This window comes from Homo sapiens, chromosome 7, assembly GCF_000001405.40.
Source record: "Homo sapiens chromosome 7, GRCh38.p14 Primary Assembly".
NCBI lineage: Eukaryota > Metazoa > Chordata > Mammalia > Primates > Hominidae > Homo > Homo sapiens.
The window spans coordinates 140741436-140758656 of record NC_000007.14 but is presented as its reverse complement, the minus strand read 5'-3'; the positions used below and the strand labels follow the sequence as shown (position 1 = coordinate 140758656).

At 36.7% G+C, this 17221-nt stretch overlaps 1 protein-coding gene across 19 annotated transcripts in view, besides 2 other annotated features; it reads left to right on the top strand.

Moving 5' to 3' along the window:
• The window catches only part of BRAF (B-Raf proto-oncogene, serine/threonine kinase), a 211602-nt gene that overhangs the window by 166273 nt on the left and 28108 nt on the right, over window positions 1-17221 (top strand). For 16 of the 19 annotated variants that reach the window (NM_001378474.1, NM_001378470.1, NM_001378475.1 and 13 more), the window contains 3 exons: window positions 4424-4470; window positions 5264-5382; window positions 9239-9370. In NM_001378474.1, the coding sequence (NP_001365403.1) occupies window positions 4424-4470; window positions 5264-5382; window positions 9239-9370 (298 nt within the window). Of the gene's footprint in view, window positions 1-4423; window positions 4471-5263; window positions 5383-9238; window positions 9371-11209; window positions 11292-17221 lie in introns of those variants that run through there. The other 3 variants (XM_047420767.1, XM_047420768.1, XM_047420769.1) reach the window with 3 other exon arrangements.
• Window positions 5842-6042: a silencer, noted in NCBI's record as "peak6791 fragment used in MPRA reporter construct". NCBI's record gives its function as "represses an SCP1 promoter by STARR-seq MPRAs in K562 erythroleukemia cells {active_cell/tissue: K562}" and the evidence as "EXISTENCE:reporter gene assay evidence [ECO:0000049][PMID:32103011]".
• Window positions 11622-11822: a silencer, noted in NCBI's record as "peak6790 fragment used in MPRA reporter construct". NCBI's record gives its function as "represses an SCP1 promoter by STARR-seq MPRAs in K562 erythroleukemia cells {active_cell/tissue: K562}" and the evidence as "EXISTENCE:reporter gene assay evidence [ECO:0000049][PMID:32103011]".

Sequence of the window (17221 nt, the reverse complement as noted above, 5' to 3'; positions counted from 1 at the left end):
ATAGTGAGACCCATCTATACAAAGCAGTTTTTTAATTATCCAGGCATGGTGGCGCCCACCTGTAGTCCCAGCTACACAAGATGCTGAGTTGGGTGGATCTCTTGAGCCCAGGAGGTTGAGGCTGCAGTGAGCTGTGATCATGCCACTGTACTCCAGCCTGGGCAAGAGAGCAACACCCTGTCTCCAAAAAAAAAAGTGAAGGAAACTAAAAAATCAAGGCAAAAATAGAATTTAGGCCACTATGGAGCATAACTTTAAAATATGTGAACTTTACCTATTCGATATTTTAATTATTTTTAAAGTGATAAATGATTACTGACTACAGAGAAGTAACAGAATGCCATTCTCGTTAATCTTACTTTCCAGGGTTGTAATAAGGGAGCAGAGGGCATCAAAGTATAAGGAAGGCTGTAATTTGGCACTGTCACCACTATCATACCTACCAGTCCAGGTGGTCACCCAAGGAGAGACTCATCTTGCTGCCTAAAGTCTGATGAACCTTTGTAAAATTGTGCAGTATTAGGTGAAAGAGGGCTGACATGCAAATGTCTAAGTAGGTCAGTTCTGTGTTTTACCAAGAGTTTAAAATACTTGAAAATGGCAGCAGACTTAAGTGAGAGATGCTAGTGGCTTTTACAAATAAGCTAAGTTGATAAATTAGCCAAATGGCATAGCAATATTATCAATAGGCATTTTAATGATAATCTCTCATTGTTTTCTTAAGGATAAGATCAAGTGATGTAACATGAATGACAGGATTTAACTGGGTTCATACTGGATGAATGATCATACCTGAAGACAGCAAACTATAATGAGATTCCTATCCTCAGTCCTCTCTTGAATATAATTACGTATTTAGAAGTAACTTATGTGAGGAATTATTAGCATGCCGATCTTTAAAAATCTCCTTTTTTCAGCTCTCACGTAAGACTCTTGAAACAAGAAAATAAAAATAACCTATGTTTTATTAAAGAAAAATGAAGCAGGCAAGAAAAAACCGACTTTTTTAGTGAAAGCTAAAGTTTTAATCTGAAATTATAGACCATGTCTACAAAATTTAAAATCCTAAGGCTGGGCGTGGTGGCTCACGCCTGTAATCCCAGCACTTTGGAAGGCTGAGGCAGGCAGATCACGAGGTCAAGAGACTGAGCCCATCCTAGCCAACATGGTGAAACCCCATCTCTACTAAAAACACAAAAATTAGCTGGGCATGGTGGCGCGCGCCTGTAGTCCCAGCTACTCAGGAGGCTGAGGCAGGAGAATCACTTGAACCTAGGAGGTGGAGGTTGCAGTGAGCCGATATCGCACCACCGCACTCCAGGCTGGTGACAGAGTGAGACTCTGTCTCAAAAAAAAAATCCTAGTCAAGTCCAAAAAAAGAGAAATATACAAGTATAAGATGGGGAAAATGTTTTATAGGAGCAATTCAAGAATAATTATTCTAGGATTGTAATTGAATATAATCCTTTTTGTGCCCTTTTTTAAAAATTCTATTTATTGTCATAAATTTTGACCCAGCAGCAGGAAGCATGTAATTAAATATAATTTTAATTGGACTCAGTAGCATGACTTTGGCTGCCATAACAATCACAATAATGTCTGATTTAATGTTGTATGCCCACCATGTGGGAGATGAAGATGAGGATCTCACCATAGTTTGTGTTGGTTAGATCCGATCTGAAGTATTGCTTTTAATTTGGGGCACCACATTATGCTCTGTAAGAATGTGGAAAAGCTGAATCTTGGATAAGAGCTTGAAGTAGTGTGAGAAGAAATTTTACCAGATGATTTTGTAGCTCTAAGATTAAATGGTTCTATAGGTGGACACTTTTTCTTCAAGGAATGAGACTGTTAAGAGAAACCTATCAAGAGAATGTGTTGTTCCTTTGGTTGATAGCATATTTGTTCTTTCCTAGTACTTCTGTAAAACTGTAATGCTCTCCTTAACATCTTACCAAGGAAAGAGGGAGGTCCAATCTAATTATCCTAATTAATGGATTGACTTCTGTGTCATATATGGCAAAGTAAAGTTGATATATTCTTGTTCCCTTCCCTACTCCCAAACAGTTATGTGAGTTATTTGTTTTCTGTTATTTTTGTTTGGGTTTTTTTTTTGGCATTTTCCATTGTAACTGGGTGGTGCTTAGGAAATTACGTTTTAGTGTCCCCCTATATAGAATTATTTAGGGTAGTGATTACTGTGAAACATTATCTTATGTAGGGATTCGGTTGTGTCTCATCCCATTTCTCTAGCTGGGGGATTAGACCCCCTTTTCCTTCCAGCCTTTCATTCTACAGACCTGGACTTCTACTCTTTGCTGCTTTTGTTACAGAAGGATTACAGAAAGAGAATTATTCAATGAGATAAAAATTAACAAAGCAGTTTGTAAGTAATAAAGGATTACACAGGTATAAAGTGTTGTTTCAGGTTGTATTTTTATGCAACTCGGCCTATAACAAATTTATGCTATATAACTTCTATGCTGGGTATATCACTGGTTCCCCAATTACATTTATATCTTGTTAATTATCTAGTGCTTTCCTGGTCAGAAAATTTCTCTCCCCACTCTCCCCAGTTACATTTCTGTCTACTCTATTCTTGCTATATTCCTCTGCATCAAATTTGTTGAAAGGATTAACACCATCCCATGGAGAACACCTTTATCTTCCCCTCTTTTATCTTCAGCATGCCTCTGTATTTTGATATGGTTGAAGCCCATTTGTTTTTGTTTTTAAGTCTTGCAGGAAAAAGAACCTCCTTTCAAAGACCAACACCTTGGCTGTATACTAGATCCCAGGTCTCTCTGAGTGCAGGACCTAGCTCCACCAACCAACACCATCATCATTTATCCCCCTTTCTTTCTAATGGAGACAAGATCTCACCATCTTAAAGCTTTGATTGGGGCCCATTTATTTCCACCAGTTTTTAACTTTGTATGTCACTGCAGAACTTTGTAAGCAGTGAGACCTATAACCGAAATAACATTTTCTTTCAGTGAAAGAGTGACAATATGATGTAGAACACTGAGCCTAAAGTCATGACAAGATAATTTTCAATTGTAGTAAATGCTATGAAGAACATAAACTGTGATATGAATAGTAATTGGAGAAGGGATTACTTTAGATAAATAGTAATTTGAAATGAAAATTTTATCTAGAAAATACTTTAAAATTTTTGATATTGGGAAGAATGAGGACGTTTAAATGAAGATGAGACAGCATGAATAATCTTGGTTATTTGCAAATCTTCCACTTTTAACAGTGTTTATTGCATGATTTTGATTATACCATTTGGATTTTAAATTCTCATTTTAAGGTAAAACTGTCTAATGATCATTGTCAGATTTCAGAAGTGTCATATAGCTATTCTCTCCGGTATTCAATTAAGAAAAATAACCTTGACTAGCACATTATATGCATCTTATTGTAGTTGATTCAGTAGACATGTATTGAATACTTACCACACATACCAAGCACTGTTCTCGGCACTGGGTATACAAAGAAATAAACAAGACACAGCCCTTTTGAGACAGGAGGATCTCTTGAGCCCAGGAGGTGGAGGTTGCAGTGAGCCAAGGTCGTGCCACTACACTCCAGCCTGGGTGATAGAGTAAGACTTTGTCTCCCCAAAAACAACAACAACAATGCTGCCTTTTACTTCAATGAATGTAGCTAAAGCAGTTTTTAGGGGTAACATAGATGATTTTAAAGTTATCGTTGACTTTAAAATAGACCTACTATGGCCATTTTAGAGAAAGTTTTCTCCTCACTAGTTTTAAGAAAATATTTTAAGAATATATGACAACTACCTTTAAAAATAGTTTTAATTACCAAACTGCATGTTCTAGTAGTTTACATTCCAAATAGAAGTGAACATAGGCACGTTGAAAAAACACATGAATCAAGCCATTATTATGATAATTACTACATAAGTTGAGCAGTGAAAGAGCACTTTCAGTTCGGTTAGTCATGGGAAAGCTTCACTCAGGAGTTAGAATTTGTATTCAGTTTTAAAGGATGGATATGAATAGGTGGAAAATAGAACGAAAGCTAACTTGGAGGGTTGGGTGTAGGAGGGGAGCATTGAACACAGTGGTGGGATTAAATATCAAGGTATATTTAAGGGACATGGATAAATAGGCTTGACTGGAGTGAAAGGTTTGTATTGGTAACTAGTAAAAGATAAAGCAAAGTCTTTTAATAGAAAACAAGATTTTGACTGTACCATTATAGTGATATGTTCCTATAATCTTAAATTCATTTACAGTCTATTTTAATATTCTGTGAAGGGTTTATTACAATGTACTATTTTCAGTTGTATCATGATTCTAAATAAGTCTTTACACCCCCAAGTATGTTCTGTAGATTTCGAGGCCAGAGTCCTTTAGCCCTACTCAGGTTAAAATGATGTTTTGTTTTTCAGTTACTTACACGCCAAGTCAATCATCCACAGAGACCTCAAGAGTAATAGTATCCTTCCTGAAATTTGTCTGCGAAGTTTGAAAACATCCTGACTTTTTCTTCTGCATTTTGTCTTCACATTATGTAAAAACAGTTTTCATGCTAAGTTCGATATACTGTAAAGAGAATTAATAAAGGATTGTGCATGCATGTATAGGAGAGCAGGATACCACAGCCTGCTTTTGGTTTCTCGACAACTGAACATTACAAGAAAATCTATCAGAAGTCTTTACAATAGTAGGAGTTTTTGATTGCTTGCTTACATTTTATCAGCACTATAAAACTGATAGTTTTGTAGCTATCTATTAGTCCCTTTCAGACCTCTGACCTTGCTCAGTGGTAGTTGAGATATAACTGAAGACTCTAAATTATATAACAATGAGGTGAGAAAAACATAATATTTCTCTTCCCTAAGTGCAGACTAAGATACTATCTGCAGCATCTTCATTCCAATGAAGAGCCTTTACTGCTCGCCCAGGAGTGCCAAGAGAATATCTGGGCCTACATTGCTAAAATCTAATGGGAAAGTTTTAGGTTCTCCTATAAACTTAGGAAAGCATCTCACCTCATCCTAACACATTTCAAGCCCCAAAAATCTTAAAAGCAGGTTATATAGGCTAAATAGAACTAATCATTGTTTTAGACATACTTATTGACTCTAAGAGGAAAGATGAAGTACTATGTTTTAAAGAATATTATATTACAGAATTATAGAAATTAGATCTCTTACCTAAACTCTTCATAATGCTTGCTCTGATAGGAAAATGAGATCTACTGTTTTCCTTTACTTACTACACCTCAGATATATTTCTTCATGAAGACCTCACAGTAAAAATAGGTGATTTTGGTCTAGCTACAGTGAAATCTCGATGGAGTGGGTCCCATCAGTTTGAACAGTTGTCTGGATCCATTTTGTGGATGGTAAGAATTGAGGCTATTTTTCCACTGATTAAATTTTTGGCCCTGAGATGCTGCTGAGTTACTAGAAAGTCATTGAAGGTCTCAACTATAGTATTTTCATAGTTCCCAGTATTCACAAAAATCAGTGTTCTTATTTTTTATGTAAATAGATTTTTTAACTTTTTTCTTTACCCTTAAAACGAATATTTTGAAACCAGTTTCAGTGTATTTCAAACAAAAATATATGTCTTATAAACAGTGTTTCATATTTTATTCTTAAATAAATATGAACCCTTAAAACGAATATTTTGAAACCAGTTTCAGTGTATTTCAAACAAAAATATATGTCTTATAAACAGTGTTTCATATTTTATTCTAAATTGTTTAAAGTATTTTGTGTTCAAAATGTTCTGTGTACCCTGTTGAAAAAAAAAACAGGTATGCAATTTAAGGCAGGTGTGATCCACAGCCATTATTATGGTTTTGCTAAGAGAACTACTCCTTTTAACAGAGAAGCTGTTTCGCAATCTTATTTAAGCCTAAATTGGAAAGTTACTTCCTTTAGACTAGAAAGTATCTCATAATTATGGGGCAGCTGGAAGAGGAAAGACAAAAAAAAATGAGAGGTAGATTAACAGCCTTGTGCTGTCTTGCATAGCTCTTTCTTTCTTCTTGTTTTTTGCTTTGTGGAAAAGAAGAAAGAGAAGTTCTAAAAGAAGGGAACAAAAACTTGTGTGCATTGCAGCAAGCTGTGGAAAGCTCAGTCATATGAATCATTCCCTAAAACAGCATTCTTAAAAGGGTCCCTCACACCGTTTTAGAGGGTCCACAAGATCTTCCCTTTGTGAGACAAGATTTTCTTTATATCCTTCAACCAAAACAACACATTGCAACAGACTGAGTGCAAAAGCAAATATGAGAATCCAGCTGGCTGCTGTTAAGCCAGACATTGAGGAGAATCACAGGCCACTCATGGTGGCTGGAGTCCATAGTTCCAGCTACCTGGGAGGCTAGGGCAGGAGGATCACTTGATCCCAGGAGTTGACTGGCCTGCTCAACATAGTGAGACCCCATCTCTAAACCATAAAAGGAGGATAATTGTAGTACTATTCTTCTTACTAAACTTTTTTTTGATAATAGTTATTTTTCATTAAAAATGAATGATCTGTGTTAACATCTACTTGTTATTATTTTAGTAGTTAAATGAATTACTAGTTTAATTTCTCCATTAAATTTTAATGGTAAACATCCACAGATATAATCTACCTAAACAAAAGTTCTTTATCATCCTCAATAATTTTTAAGAGTGAAAAAGAGTCCTGAGACCAAAAAGTTTGAAAAACACAGCTCTAAGCTGAATACAGCCTTTCCAAAAGTCTTAGTGCAATTCTAAGCTTTAAATAACTTAATCTGCACTAAGACTTTCGGGCACCCTGCTGGAAACAGAAAAGTTGTAAGGGCTTTCAAAGCCACAAACTTTATGTAGCAGTCTCCAGAAAGGGAAGTCCAAGATAGGACTCCCAAGTTTGTCAAAATAAACCTAGAGTTAAATTGAGCTGTGATTTCTTATGACAGTAAGTGGAATTAGGGCAGGTGGCAAGGTGGAAGAGGGGACATTGGACTTAGAAGATCTGTATTCTGGTACCCTATTTGGCCATTAACCTGCAAGTTTCTTAACCTCCTCTAAGTCTACATCTGAAATGTTGAGTTGGACTAGTAGATTTCCAATGCCCCTTTTTTCTAAGATTCGGTGACTGGAGTTAGCTAGATTTTTTCCATTATTTAACATATGTTTAACTTTTAATTAATAATTATAAGTGATAGAAAAATTAATAACTATAATCTGATGTCAGGCACCTTTATTAAGGCATACACACCTTGTGAAAAAGATGGCAGTGTATCCTAAAAAGATGAGGGAAAACAGATTTTAAGTGCTGAAATTGCAAAACCTAAAATTATAAACAATTGTCACGTGCTTTTAAAGTATGTTAATTTTTGACTATGTGGGAGAGTTAGGCTCAATCAAGTCTCCAGTTTTGTCCTTACTTTTTCAAAAACCTTAGTTTATACAGTTTGTAGATTATTATACATAAAGTTTTATATTTTCTTACAATTAATTTTTTGTTGATACCTGTGTAAATGGGTTTCTCCTTTATTCTTTCATGCTGAGTTTTAAGACGAGAGAATAATAGCCAACAGTACCCTTTATTGTTAAACCAATCCTGGGTTGATACTGCCCTCAGAAACAAATATGGAACATCCGTATCATAGGAGAGAAGAGTTTGGTCATAACTAAGGCTGTGTGGTCCTTTGAATTATATACAATGTTCTTCTCAACTTTGTTTTATTTGTATCTTAGGAGAGAAAGAAACCTTTGTGAGAGTTTTTACAAATTAAATCACTAAATTGAAGATTCGTCATGCATTTCTTAAAATAGGTGACATGCAACTTTTCATCAAACTGTCTACCAACAACAGTGTGAGATAAAACTAAATTAAAAAAAAAAAGTTCATCTGATTTCTACTCCATCTCTCACAAAAATTGGTCAGGCTTTGAACATTATACCTTTGCCATACCAGCCTCTCAGTATTCTGGCTTGCTTATTACATCACAGTTATATGTGGTTTATTTTGTACTGTATTACTAAAAGCAACTATGAACAAAATGTATGACAAAGCGAAGTAGATACAACCTTCTCCTTCACTTCCATCCTCTCACGCTCTTCAGGACATCCCACAGATCTTCCATCAGTGGTTCTCAACTTTGGTTGGACACTAGAATCATCTGTGGAGCTTTAAAGACTAATTAATGTTTGGGTCCCACCCCCAGACTCTGTTACGTTGTGTGATTGGACTGGAGTGTAGTCTGGACGTTGAGGGGTTTAAGGCTCCGCGGGTCATTCTCATTTACAGCTGTTGCTCAGTGCCATTATTGCCTCTCCTTGTGAGATGCCTGCCTTACCCAGAGCAATAACCAGGAATCTTGTCCCAGGTCTTTCAGTCATTTTTGCAGAGTTAGTACCACTTTTGCTGTCAAATTGACATTGTCACAAACTTTTCATTAATATACTGCCATTTCGATTCCTTCCAAATGAAACAATACAGAAGACGCAAGGTGAAAGAATAACTCTTTTAAGCTAATAATTAACCAACTGTTTATTGTATTTCATGTAAATAAGAAACCTAATTGTGCAATACAATGACTGAAATGTGTAAAAATGTAGCAAATATGATTGTTTCATTGCCCAAGAAGCAGCAGCCAGAAGATTCTTTATACCATCTTTTACTAAATCTACCTGCTGTCTTGCTTTTGTTAATAAAGCATCCATGGCATGTTTATACCATATGCTTATTCCATAGTTTGAAAGGGGATTTGAGTTTATCAGTCCTGAAATTCTACCATTATTTTCTAAGGTGTCCTCAGATGAGAAAAGTTGTTTGTACCAATGGGAAAACTTAAATTGTAAGACAGTTACTACAGTAGTTGTGCTGCTCCTAAGCATCTTATAACCACAAGTCTAGTATTTCTTTGCTGAATCAGGAATGGGAAGTGGGAACTGATTCTAATAGGGTAAGTCATGGGAAGAATTCATCTGGCAATGATGGTATTTTCTGCAGAAAGATTGCCTAAATAATTACTAAATTATAAAATCTTAGTAATACAATACAAAATCTCTGCTAATACTGTCTCTTTCTGAGTATGTAGAGGTTTTTTTCTTCAGCTTAATCAGTTTTATTTCTTTGACTATTAAGAGAATTGATTACATATTAGACAGGTGTTTTAATGGTAAAAGCATTGCTCTAGGAATTATAGTAGGTTGTTTTTCAGTCTTTATTCAATTGAAGTGAAGAATATTTTTCTTTGTATGTTCTAACAGGCACCAGAAGTCATCAGAATGCAAGATAAAAATCCATACAGCTTTCAGTCAGATGTATATGCATTTGGAATTGTTCTGTATGAATTGATGACTGGACAGTTACCTTATTCAAACATCAACAACAGGGACCAGGTAAATATTTACCACGTCTTGGTGTTTATTTTACCGTCTATATACAAGGCTCCAGTTGTAGAAAATAAGTGTTAACTCCTGGGTAAGCGTGAAGGATAGATTTCTTGATTTTTTGTTACCAGTTTTAGAAATCGTTTGTATACTTTTGGCAGTAATAGCAACACGTTAAGTCCTTTCCTCAGAATATCAGTCATGAATGTTACAATGGAATAAAATTCCTGATTTTCTGACTAGAAACTACAGTTACAAGAATGGATATTTCTTGACCATCGCACAATTAGAAGAATGAGCTCTGCTACTATAGCATCTGGGCATTATACTTTTCACTGTATCACAGATTGTGCTGTCAGAACAGGTACTCAGCTATGAGATCTTTATATTAAATTCTTTTAAAATTACTAAGGTTTCTTGAAATCTTTAATTTTTAAAACTAGGTAAATGGAAGAAATCATGCTTTGATTTTTCTATAATGAGAATGCTAGTAGGAGGGTAATTTTTTACTTCTTTTCCTTCCTAAGCAACTATTCCCTGTCCCTTACCTTCCAAAAGGTACTAACATAGCCTCATGGAGCTCTTAGCCTTTTCTATCTCTGCCTCAGTAGGCTCGCTTAGACTTTTAAAATTGGCCAAGAAAAGTGAATTATCTTTACTAAAATTACCTTGGATAACTACATTTTAAAAGATTTGTGATTGTGTGTGTAGAGAGATTACAACAGTTACACTGTTAATATATTAGAAAACACTAGTTGACCACATAAACTCTGATTAAAGAATATTTCGACTTTATGCTGTGATTTGCCTCAGAATCACCTGGAAATTTTGCTTAAAAATGGAGAAACTGGAGCAGATTGTAATTAAATGGGGAGGGTCCAATCACCTGCATTTTTTTCTGTTTCCCAGGTGATTCTAATACAGACCAAAGTTGAGAATCACCAATCTAAAGATTTTTTTTAAAAACAGTGCAGGCTTTTTAGGTATTTCATAACTTCCCAACCTAATGAAATGGTAGTTTTTGTATATAAATGTTACTGCTTCATTTAAGTGATTTGTCTGTTTTGTCAAGAGCTCAGCTCTATCTTTTTGGTGCTAGCTCTGAGTAGCTTTCTCACTTCACCTATTGTGATATCGGAGAAATAATCTCTTAAGTTACCATGTACTTTGTGTGTGTACTTACTGAATCACCATATGCCCCTTACACAACAGTGGTCTTGACTGTGTTTGATGGTTTTTAAAAATGGCTACATTTCTACCCAGTTCATTATAAAACTAAATTTTAGTTGGTGTTGGCCTTTCTAACTACTTCATAGCTTTAGAATGTTGAGTCTTAGCTTTGAGTGTGTAACAACATGACTTTGGATCTGATGTTTTAAGCCTGCAGGAAACTTAGATTCAGGATGGACTGAAATTTCAGCTAAAGAACATAATTGAAACATTGTACTTACTGTACTTGTGATAGATCTAGATCACTGAAATGATTGATTTGACAATGGCAGTTGGGGTAGCAAAATGGTCTCTAATTTACAAGCTTCATGTCCTCTGTCTTTTACAGTCTTATTTATTCAATCATACAGCATAACAGCCTGTACCATGTTCACTTTTCCTGTATATAATATTTTTCTGGAGGAATTATGGATTTTTAGTTTAGTTTCAGTTGATTTATCATATAGACTACAAATTAATAAAAATTTATGAACCTAAGATCTGGATGAAATTCATTTGTCAGTGAATACGTTTATCTTAGTACAATAATAAAATTATAATATAGAAACAAGTATTATCTCCAAAATACAGATAAAAGCATCCCAGAGTTCTTCTCTCATCCACTTCTTGGCATTTTAGGTGCTTTGTCCTCCATGGGAGTATAATAAATGATGTGGCAAGGGCTTACTCTCCATGAGAGGAATGTGTGACCAACAGAAGGGTAAGGCCTTTACTAGTTAATTCTTTCTAATAGTATAGTTAGAACCTTCTGGAATTTGCTAGTCTGAAACCAAGTTAAGTATTTAATGGAGAAGAAGGAGGTAAAAGAATGATGTCCTCTTACAACTACCCCCATTCTGCTTCATTACCCCCTAGTCTACTTACGTCAAATAGTACTTTCTATGAAACTCCACATTTTGAAGGGTTAACTCTGGCCATCCTCAGTGAAGCTGCCCCAGGTATTGCTCCATTCATCCTTTGATTTTTCTTTTGCTATCTATAATACTTGGATCTCCATAGCTCTCAGATTAGACTTCTGTTTAAGAATCCAGGAATATTCTTTACTATGCAATGTGAATACCATTCCCCTAGACTCTCATACCCATAGTCTGAGGTGGCAGATTTTGCCTGTAAATTCAGAGCACAGCTGGTAAAGCAGTGTGATGTAATGGCAGGCCTTGGACTCAGGTAGGTAGACTAGGTCTACCTACCTCTCTGGGTATCTTTTTTTTTTCTTTTTTCTTTTTTTTTTTTTCCAAGACGGAGTCTTGCTGTGTCGCCCAGGCTGGAATGCAGTGGCCTGATCTCAGCTCACTGCAACCTCTGCCTCCCATGTTAGCGATTCTTCTGCCTCAGCCTCCCGAGTAGCTGGGATTACAGGCACGCAGCACTACACCCAGCTAATTTTTTTGTATTTTTGGTAGAGACAGGGGTTTCACCATGTTGGTCAGGCTGGGCTCAAACTCCTAACCTGATGATCTGCCCGCCTCAGCCTGCCAAAGTGCTGGGATTACAGGCGTGAACCACTGCACCTGGCCTTTTTTCTTTTTTCAATTACCTGCAAAATAAGGGAATTCGGCTAAGAATTTCTTCCAGCTTCAAAAATCAGATTCTTTTCTAAAATAGTTCTCTTAGCTCTTTGCAAAGTAGTGTGCCTTTTTACCTTTATTCACCCTAGCACTAAAGTCTGGGAAATCACTTTGTCATCCCCCCACTCTCTTTATCATTCTAACATTTTTCTCTCTAATCACCCTGTTCTTCCCTCCTTCAGTGCATTTTCTCTTGTAAATTGGGATTAATAATGTGCTCACTTAAGTATATTGACTATACCTTTATGGCTTTCGTTCCTTGGAGTAGAAGTGCCGTGTCTTCTTTGAAGAATAGATAGCATATATCTGTTATTTCAAGTGTATTATTCCAGTTATAATTGCTGCATAACAAACCACCCAGAATGTAGTAGCTTAAAATATGAATCTGTAGGTTGGGCTTTTCTCTGTGAGGAAGATTCTTACCTGTTTCACACCGTATTGACTAGAGTAGATTTACGGGGTGTTAAAAGGATCTACTCAGAAGTGGCTCATTCATGTACCTGGCAAGTTGGTGCTAGCTAGAAGCTAGAAGCTCAGTTATTCTCCACATGAGCTTTTCCTTGTGGACCTCTTCGCAGGTCTTCAAGGACCTCTTCATTGGTCTTTCTCACAGCGTGGTTGCTAGGTTCTAAGCACAAGATCTGAAGAAACAGGAAGTAAGTACTAGTCTCTTATCAGTAGGCAAATTATTTTAATAGAAAATGTTTTCAATACCAACTATATGCAAAGCACTATGGAATATAGAAGGATTCAAAATGAATAAAACAAAACCCAGGCTCTGCTCTCAATGGCATGTGCAGTTCTGTTGAGGCCGTGCTGGGGGTGATACTGAAAATGAGCAGACATGAGCTCCAGTAATACCATGGAGTGAATTGACAGGGTCGAGACACCAGGAGTACTGAGTGTGTATTGAAAGTATGAAAAATCAGTCCCAGAATTTGAAGCTGGGGTATTGGTTTCGTTGTGTATGTGCCACATGAATCTTCTGTCCATGAATAACATCCAGGAAAAACTTCCCTTTTTTCTTCTTTCTGTTTCTTCATCAGTCAGCCTCTGCACCCCACCCCAGCAGATACTGAAAGTTTCCTGCTTTCTGCTCTGCACTAACTAAATTCTGTGGGATGTATAAAAACATGAGAGTTGTCTTTGATTTTTTTTCTCACATTCCTCCTGAAAGACTCTTGAAAAACTATGTATCTCCTTGTATATTTTTTAAGTTGGCATCTAAAAGTTTTTATCTTAAGTTTAAATAATTGCAAAGAATGTAATTTCCAGTATATTCTATTAACATTTTAAAATAAGACTACTATATTAGATACATATATATCCCTCTTTTTGAAATATATACATCAAAATCTAAAAACCATACCGATTTTATGCCTATTAAAAAATACTGAAGCTCTTCATTAATTTCTGGAAGTTTTACATGGTTCCTTTTTTCTCTTCAAACTATTTGTATTGTTTCTGTCACAGAACTTCATCCTAATGTAACATATTTGTATGTTTTAAAGCCTTTTATTGATTACCTAAGTTACATCTCTGCAATAAAAGTATGTATATAAATTTAAATTTAGAATTTTACAAAATTGTGACTTCAAGCTCTGATTATTAATTTTTTAATTCTGAATTATGTTTTTGTTGCAAGTAATATATAACTGATGAAAGTAGCATATAAGTTTTGATATATGGAAACATAGAATGTAAAATTATATTGGAAATATGTATCTTAATGAATGACATGGGGCTTTTCTTTTCCCTTCAATTAATGTATGTATCTGTGGATAAATACAACTTTTTTGTTAGGACACTAGATACTAAGACTTAGTATTGATTCTTTCCATATTTCATTTTTAAAGAGGTAAATACTGAGAAATTTTATCTAAATTATAAGAAGATGACAAAGGCAGGAGTTTTGTTATAATCACATGCAGAGTTTAGTAGTCCCCAAGACCAGCTTCAGGTTTGTTAAAAGGACTTGCTGAAAACTCACTGAAAGCTGCTCAAGACTCACTGACAACTGTTACATTCACAGTTACAGTTTATTACAATGAAAGAATACAGATCAAAATTAACAAGGGAAGAGACTCATAGGACAGAATTCAGAAGCGTTCTTGTTGGAGCTTCCTGTCACCCTCTCCCAATGGAGTTGTGGACAGAGCTTCCAGTAGCAATGTGTGACAACACACATGGATTATTGCCAACCAGGGAAGCTCACCTGAGCCTTGGAGTCTAGAGTTTTTATTGGGGTTCAGTCATATGATTAACCACCTGCGGGGCTGACCTTAGTTTCCAGCTCCTGCAGAGGTCAAGCTGATGCCACATGACCCAGAGCCCTCTATAAATCACATTGTTAGCACAGTCTGTCTGGCATGGCCCATGGCCCCCAGATAAACAGACACTCTGATCAGGCAGGACATTTCAAGGACTTAGTGATTACCTCCCAGGAGCCAAGAGCAAAGGCTAGCTCTCTCTTTGGGCAAGGTTAATTCTTTACCACATACTATATATCACTCAATCATCTGAGCTCATTCCTATAATGTACCAAAATTTACATAGTAACTTGTCATTAAAAATGTTTTAAAAGCTCAGCTGACATTTCAATTAATATTTTTGAAAGTAAAGAATTGGAAACCAACAGACTCGTTACCCATTCGTTGGAGCCCAGTTTGACACCAGTATTTAGAAATGTCTCTTTGTTGCCCCAGAGGTTTTTACACCCTGGGACAATGTATACTATAGTTAGGTTACATATGGGTAAAAGGTGTGCCTTTTTTTTTTTAATTAAAGTTTTAGGGTACATGTACACAATGTGCAGGTTAGTTACATATGTATACATGTGCCATGCTGGTGTGCTGCACCCATTAACTCATCATTTAGCATTAGGTATATCTCCTAATGCTATCCCTCCCCACTCCACCCACCCCACAACAGTCCCCAGAGTGTGATGTTCCCCTTCCTGTGTCCACGTGTTCTCATTGTTCAATTCCCACCTATGAGTGAGAATATGCGGTGTTTGGTTTTTTGTTCTTGAGATAGTTTACCAAGAATGATGATTTCCAGTTTCATCCATGTCCCTACAAAGGACATGAACTCATCATTTTTTATGGCTGCATAGTATTCCATGGTGTATATGTGCCACATTTTCTTAATCCAGTCTATCATTGATGGACATTTGGGTTGGTTCCAAGTCTTTGCTATTGTGAATAGTGCCGCTATAAACATACGTGTGCATGTGTCTTTATAGCAGCATGATTTATAGTCCTTTGGGTATATACCCAGTAATGGGATGGCTGGGTCAAATGGTATTTCTAGTTCTAGATCCCTGAGGAATCGCCACACTGACTTCCACAAAGGTTGAACTAGTTTACAGTCCCACCAACAGTGTAAAAGTGTTCCTATTTCTCCACATCCTCTCCAGCACCTGTTGTTTCCTGACTTTTTAATGATTGTGATTCTAACTGGTGTGAGATGATATGTCGTTATGGTTTTGATTTGCATTTCTCTGATGGCCAGTGATGGTGAGCATTTTTTCATGTGTTTTTTGGCTGCATAAATGTCTTCTTTTGAGAAGTGTCTGTTCATGTCCTTTGCCCACTTTTTGATGGGGTTGTTTGTTTTTTTCTTGTAAATTTGTTTGAGTTCATTGTAGATTCTGGATATTAGCCCTTTGTCAGATGAGTAGGTTGCAAAAATTTTCTCCCATTTTGTAGGTTGCCTGTTCACTCTGATGGTAGTTTCTTTTGCTATGCAGAAGCTCTTTAGTTTAGTTAGATCCCATTTGTCAATTTTGGCTTTTGTTGCCATTGCTTTTGGTGTTTTAGACATGAAGTCCTAAAGGTGTGCCTTTTGTAAAGTGGTAGAAGGGCAGTTATAACAGGGAAAATGGGAAAGCAAGATAAGTGTTACACTTCCACTTGAGTGGTTCTCTGGCAAATCAGTTTTTTCAAAGGGGATACCAGTAAGTTGATAGTTGTAGAAATTAATTCCCTTAAAACCACCATGTTGGCTGGGCGTGGTGGTTCACACCTGTAACCCCAGCACTTTGGGAGGCTGAGGCGGGTGGATCACTTGAGGTCTGGAGTTCGAGACCAGCCTGGCCAACATGGTGAAACCCCATCTCTACTAAAAAAATGGAAACATTAGCCAGGCATGGTGGTGTGCACCTGTAATCCCAGCTACTTGGGAGGCTGAGGCAGTAGAATCTCTTGAACCCAGGAAGGGGAGGTTGCAGTGAGCCGAGATCACACCACTACACTCTAGCCTGGGCAACAGAGCAAGACTGTCTCAAATTAAAAAACAAAAACAAAAAAAACCCCACCATGTCTATACACCTCTGGCAAAGTCTTCCTGTAACCCCAGGGATACTTGACTCTAATTTAAAGACTATAGACCTATGACATGGCTGATCAACTAGCAAAAAGTTATCACTCACCTTAATGAACAGTTAACTTAAACATTGAAAACCTCTTGTGTCCACAAGGTTATGTTAAATACTGGAGGTAGTGGTGTTATAGATATTTTTTAAGAATTTTTTTTTTTTTGAGACAGTCTCGCTCTGTTGGCCAGTCTGGAGTATAGTGTGGCATGATCTTGGCTCACTGCAACCTCTGCCTCCTGGGTTCAATCAATTCCTTGCCTCAGCCTCCCACGTAGCTGGGACTACAGGCACATACCGCCACACCCAGCTAATTTTTATATTTTTAGTAGAGACGGGGTTTCATCATCTTGGCCAGGCTGGTCTTGAACTCCTAGACCTCATGATCCACCCTCCTCAGCCTCCCAAAGTGCTGGGATTACAGGCGTGAGTCACCACGCCTGGCTTCTTTAAGAATTTTTTTAAAATATGTATGTATGAGTCACAATCTCTCTGCCTGAGCACCCATAGTCTCATTGGAGAACTTAGATAAGATACATATCACAAAAAGATTAATAACCATACAAGGCAGTAAATGATCATCACAGCTAGTGGTGGGAAGAAGGACCATTATTACTTCTAGGTGTGTAAAGAAAGGTATGATAAGCATGGTTACCTTTCAGTTAGGCCTGATCATCTGGGTTTCAG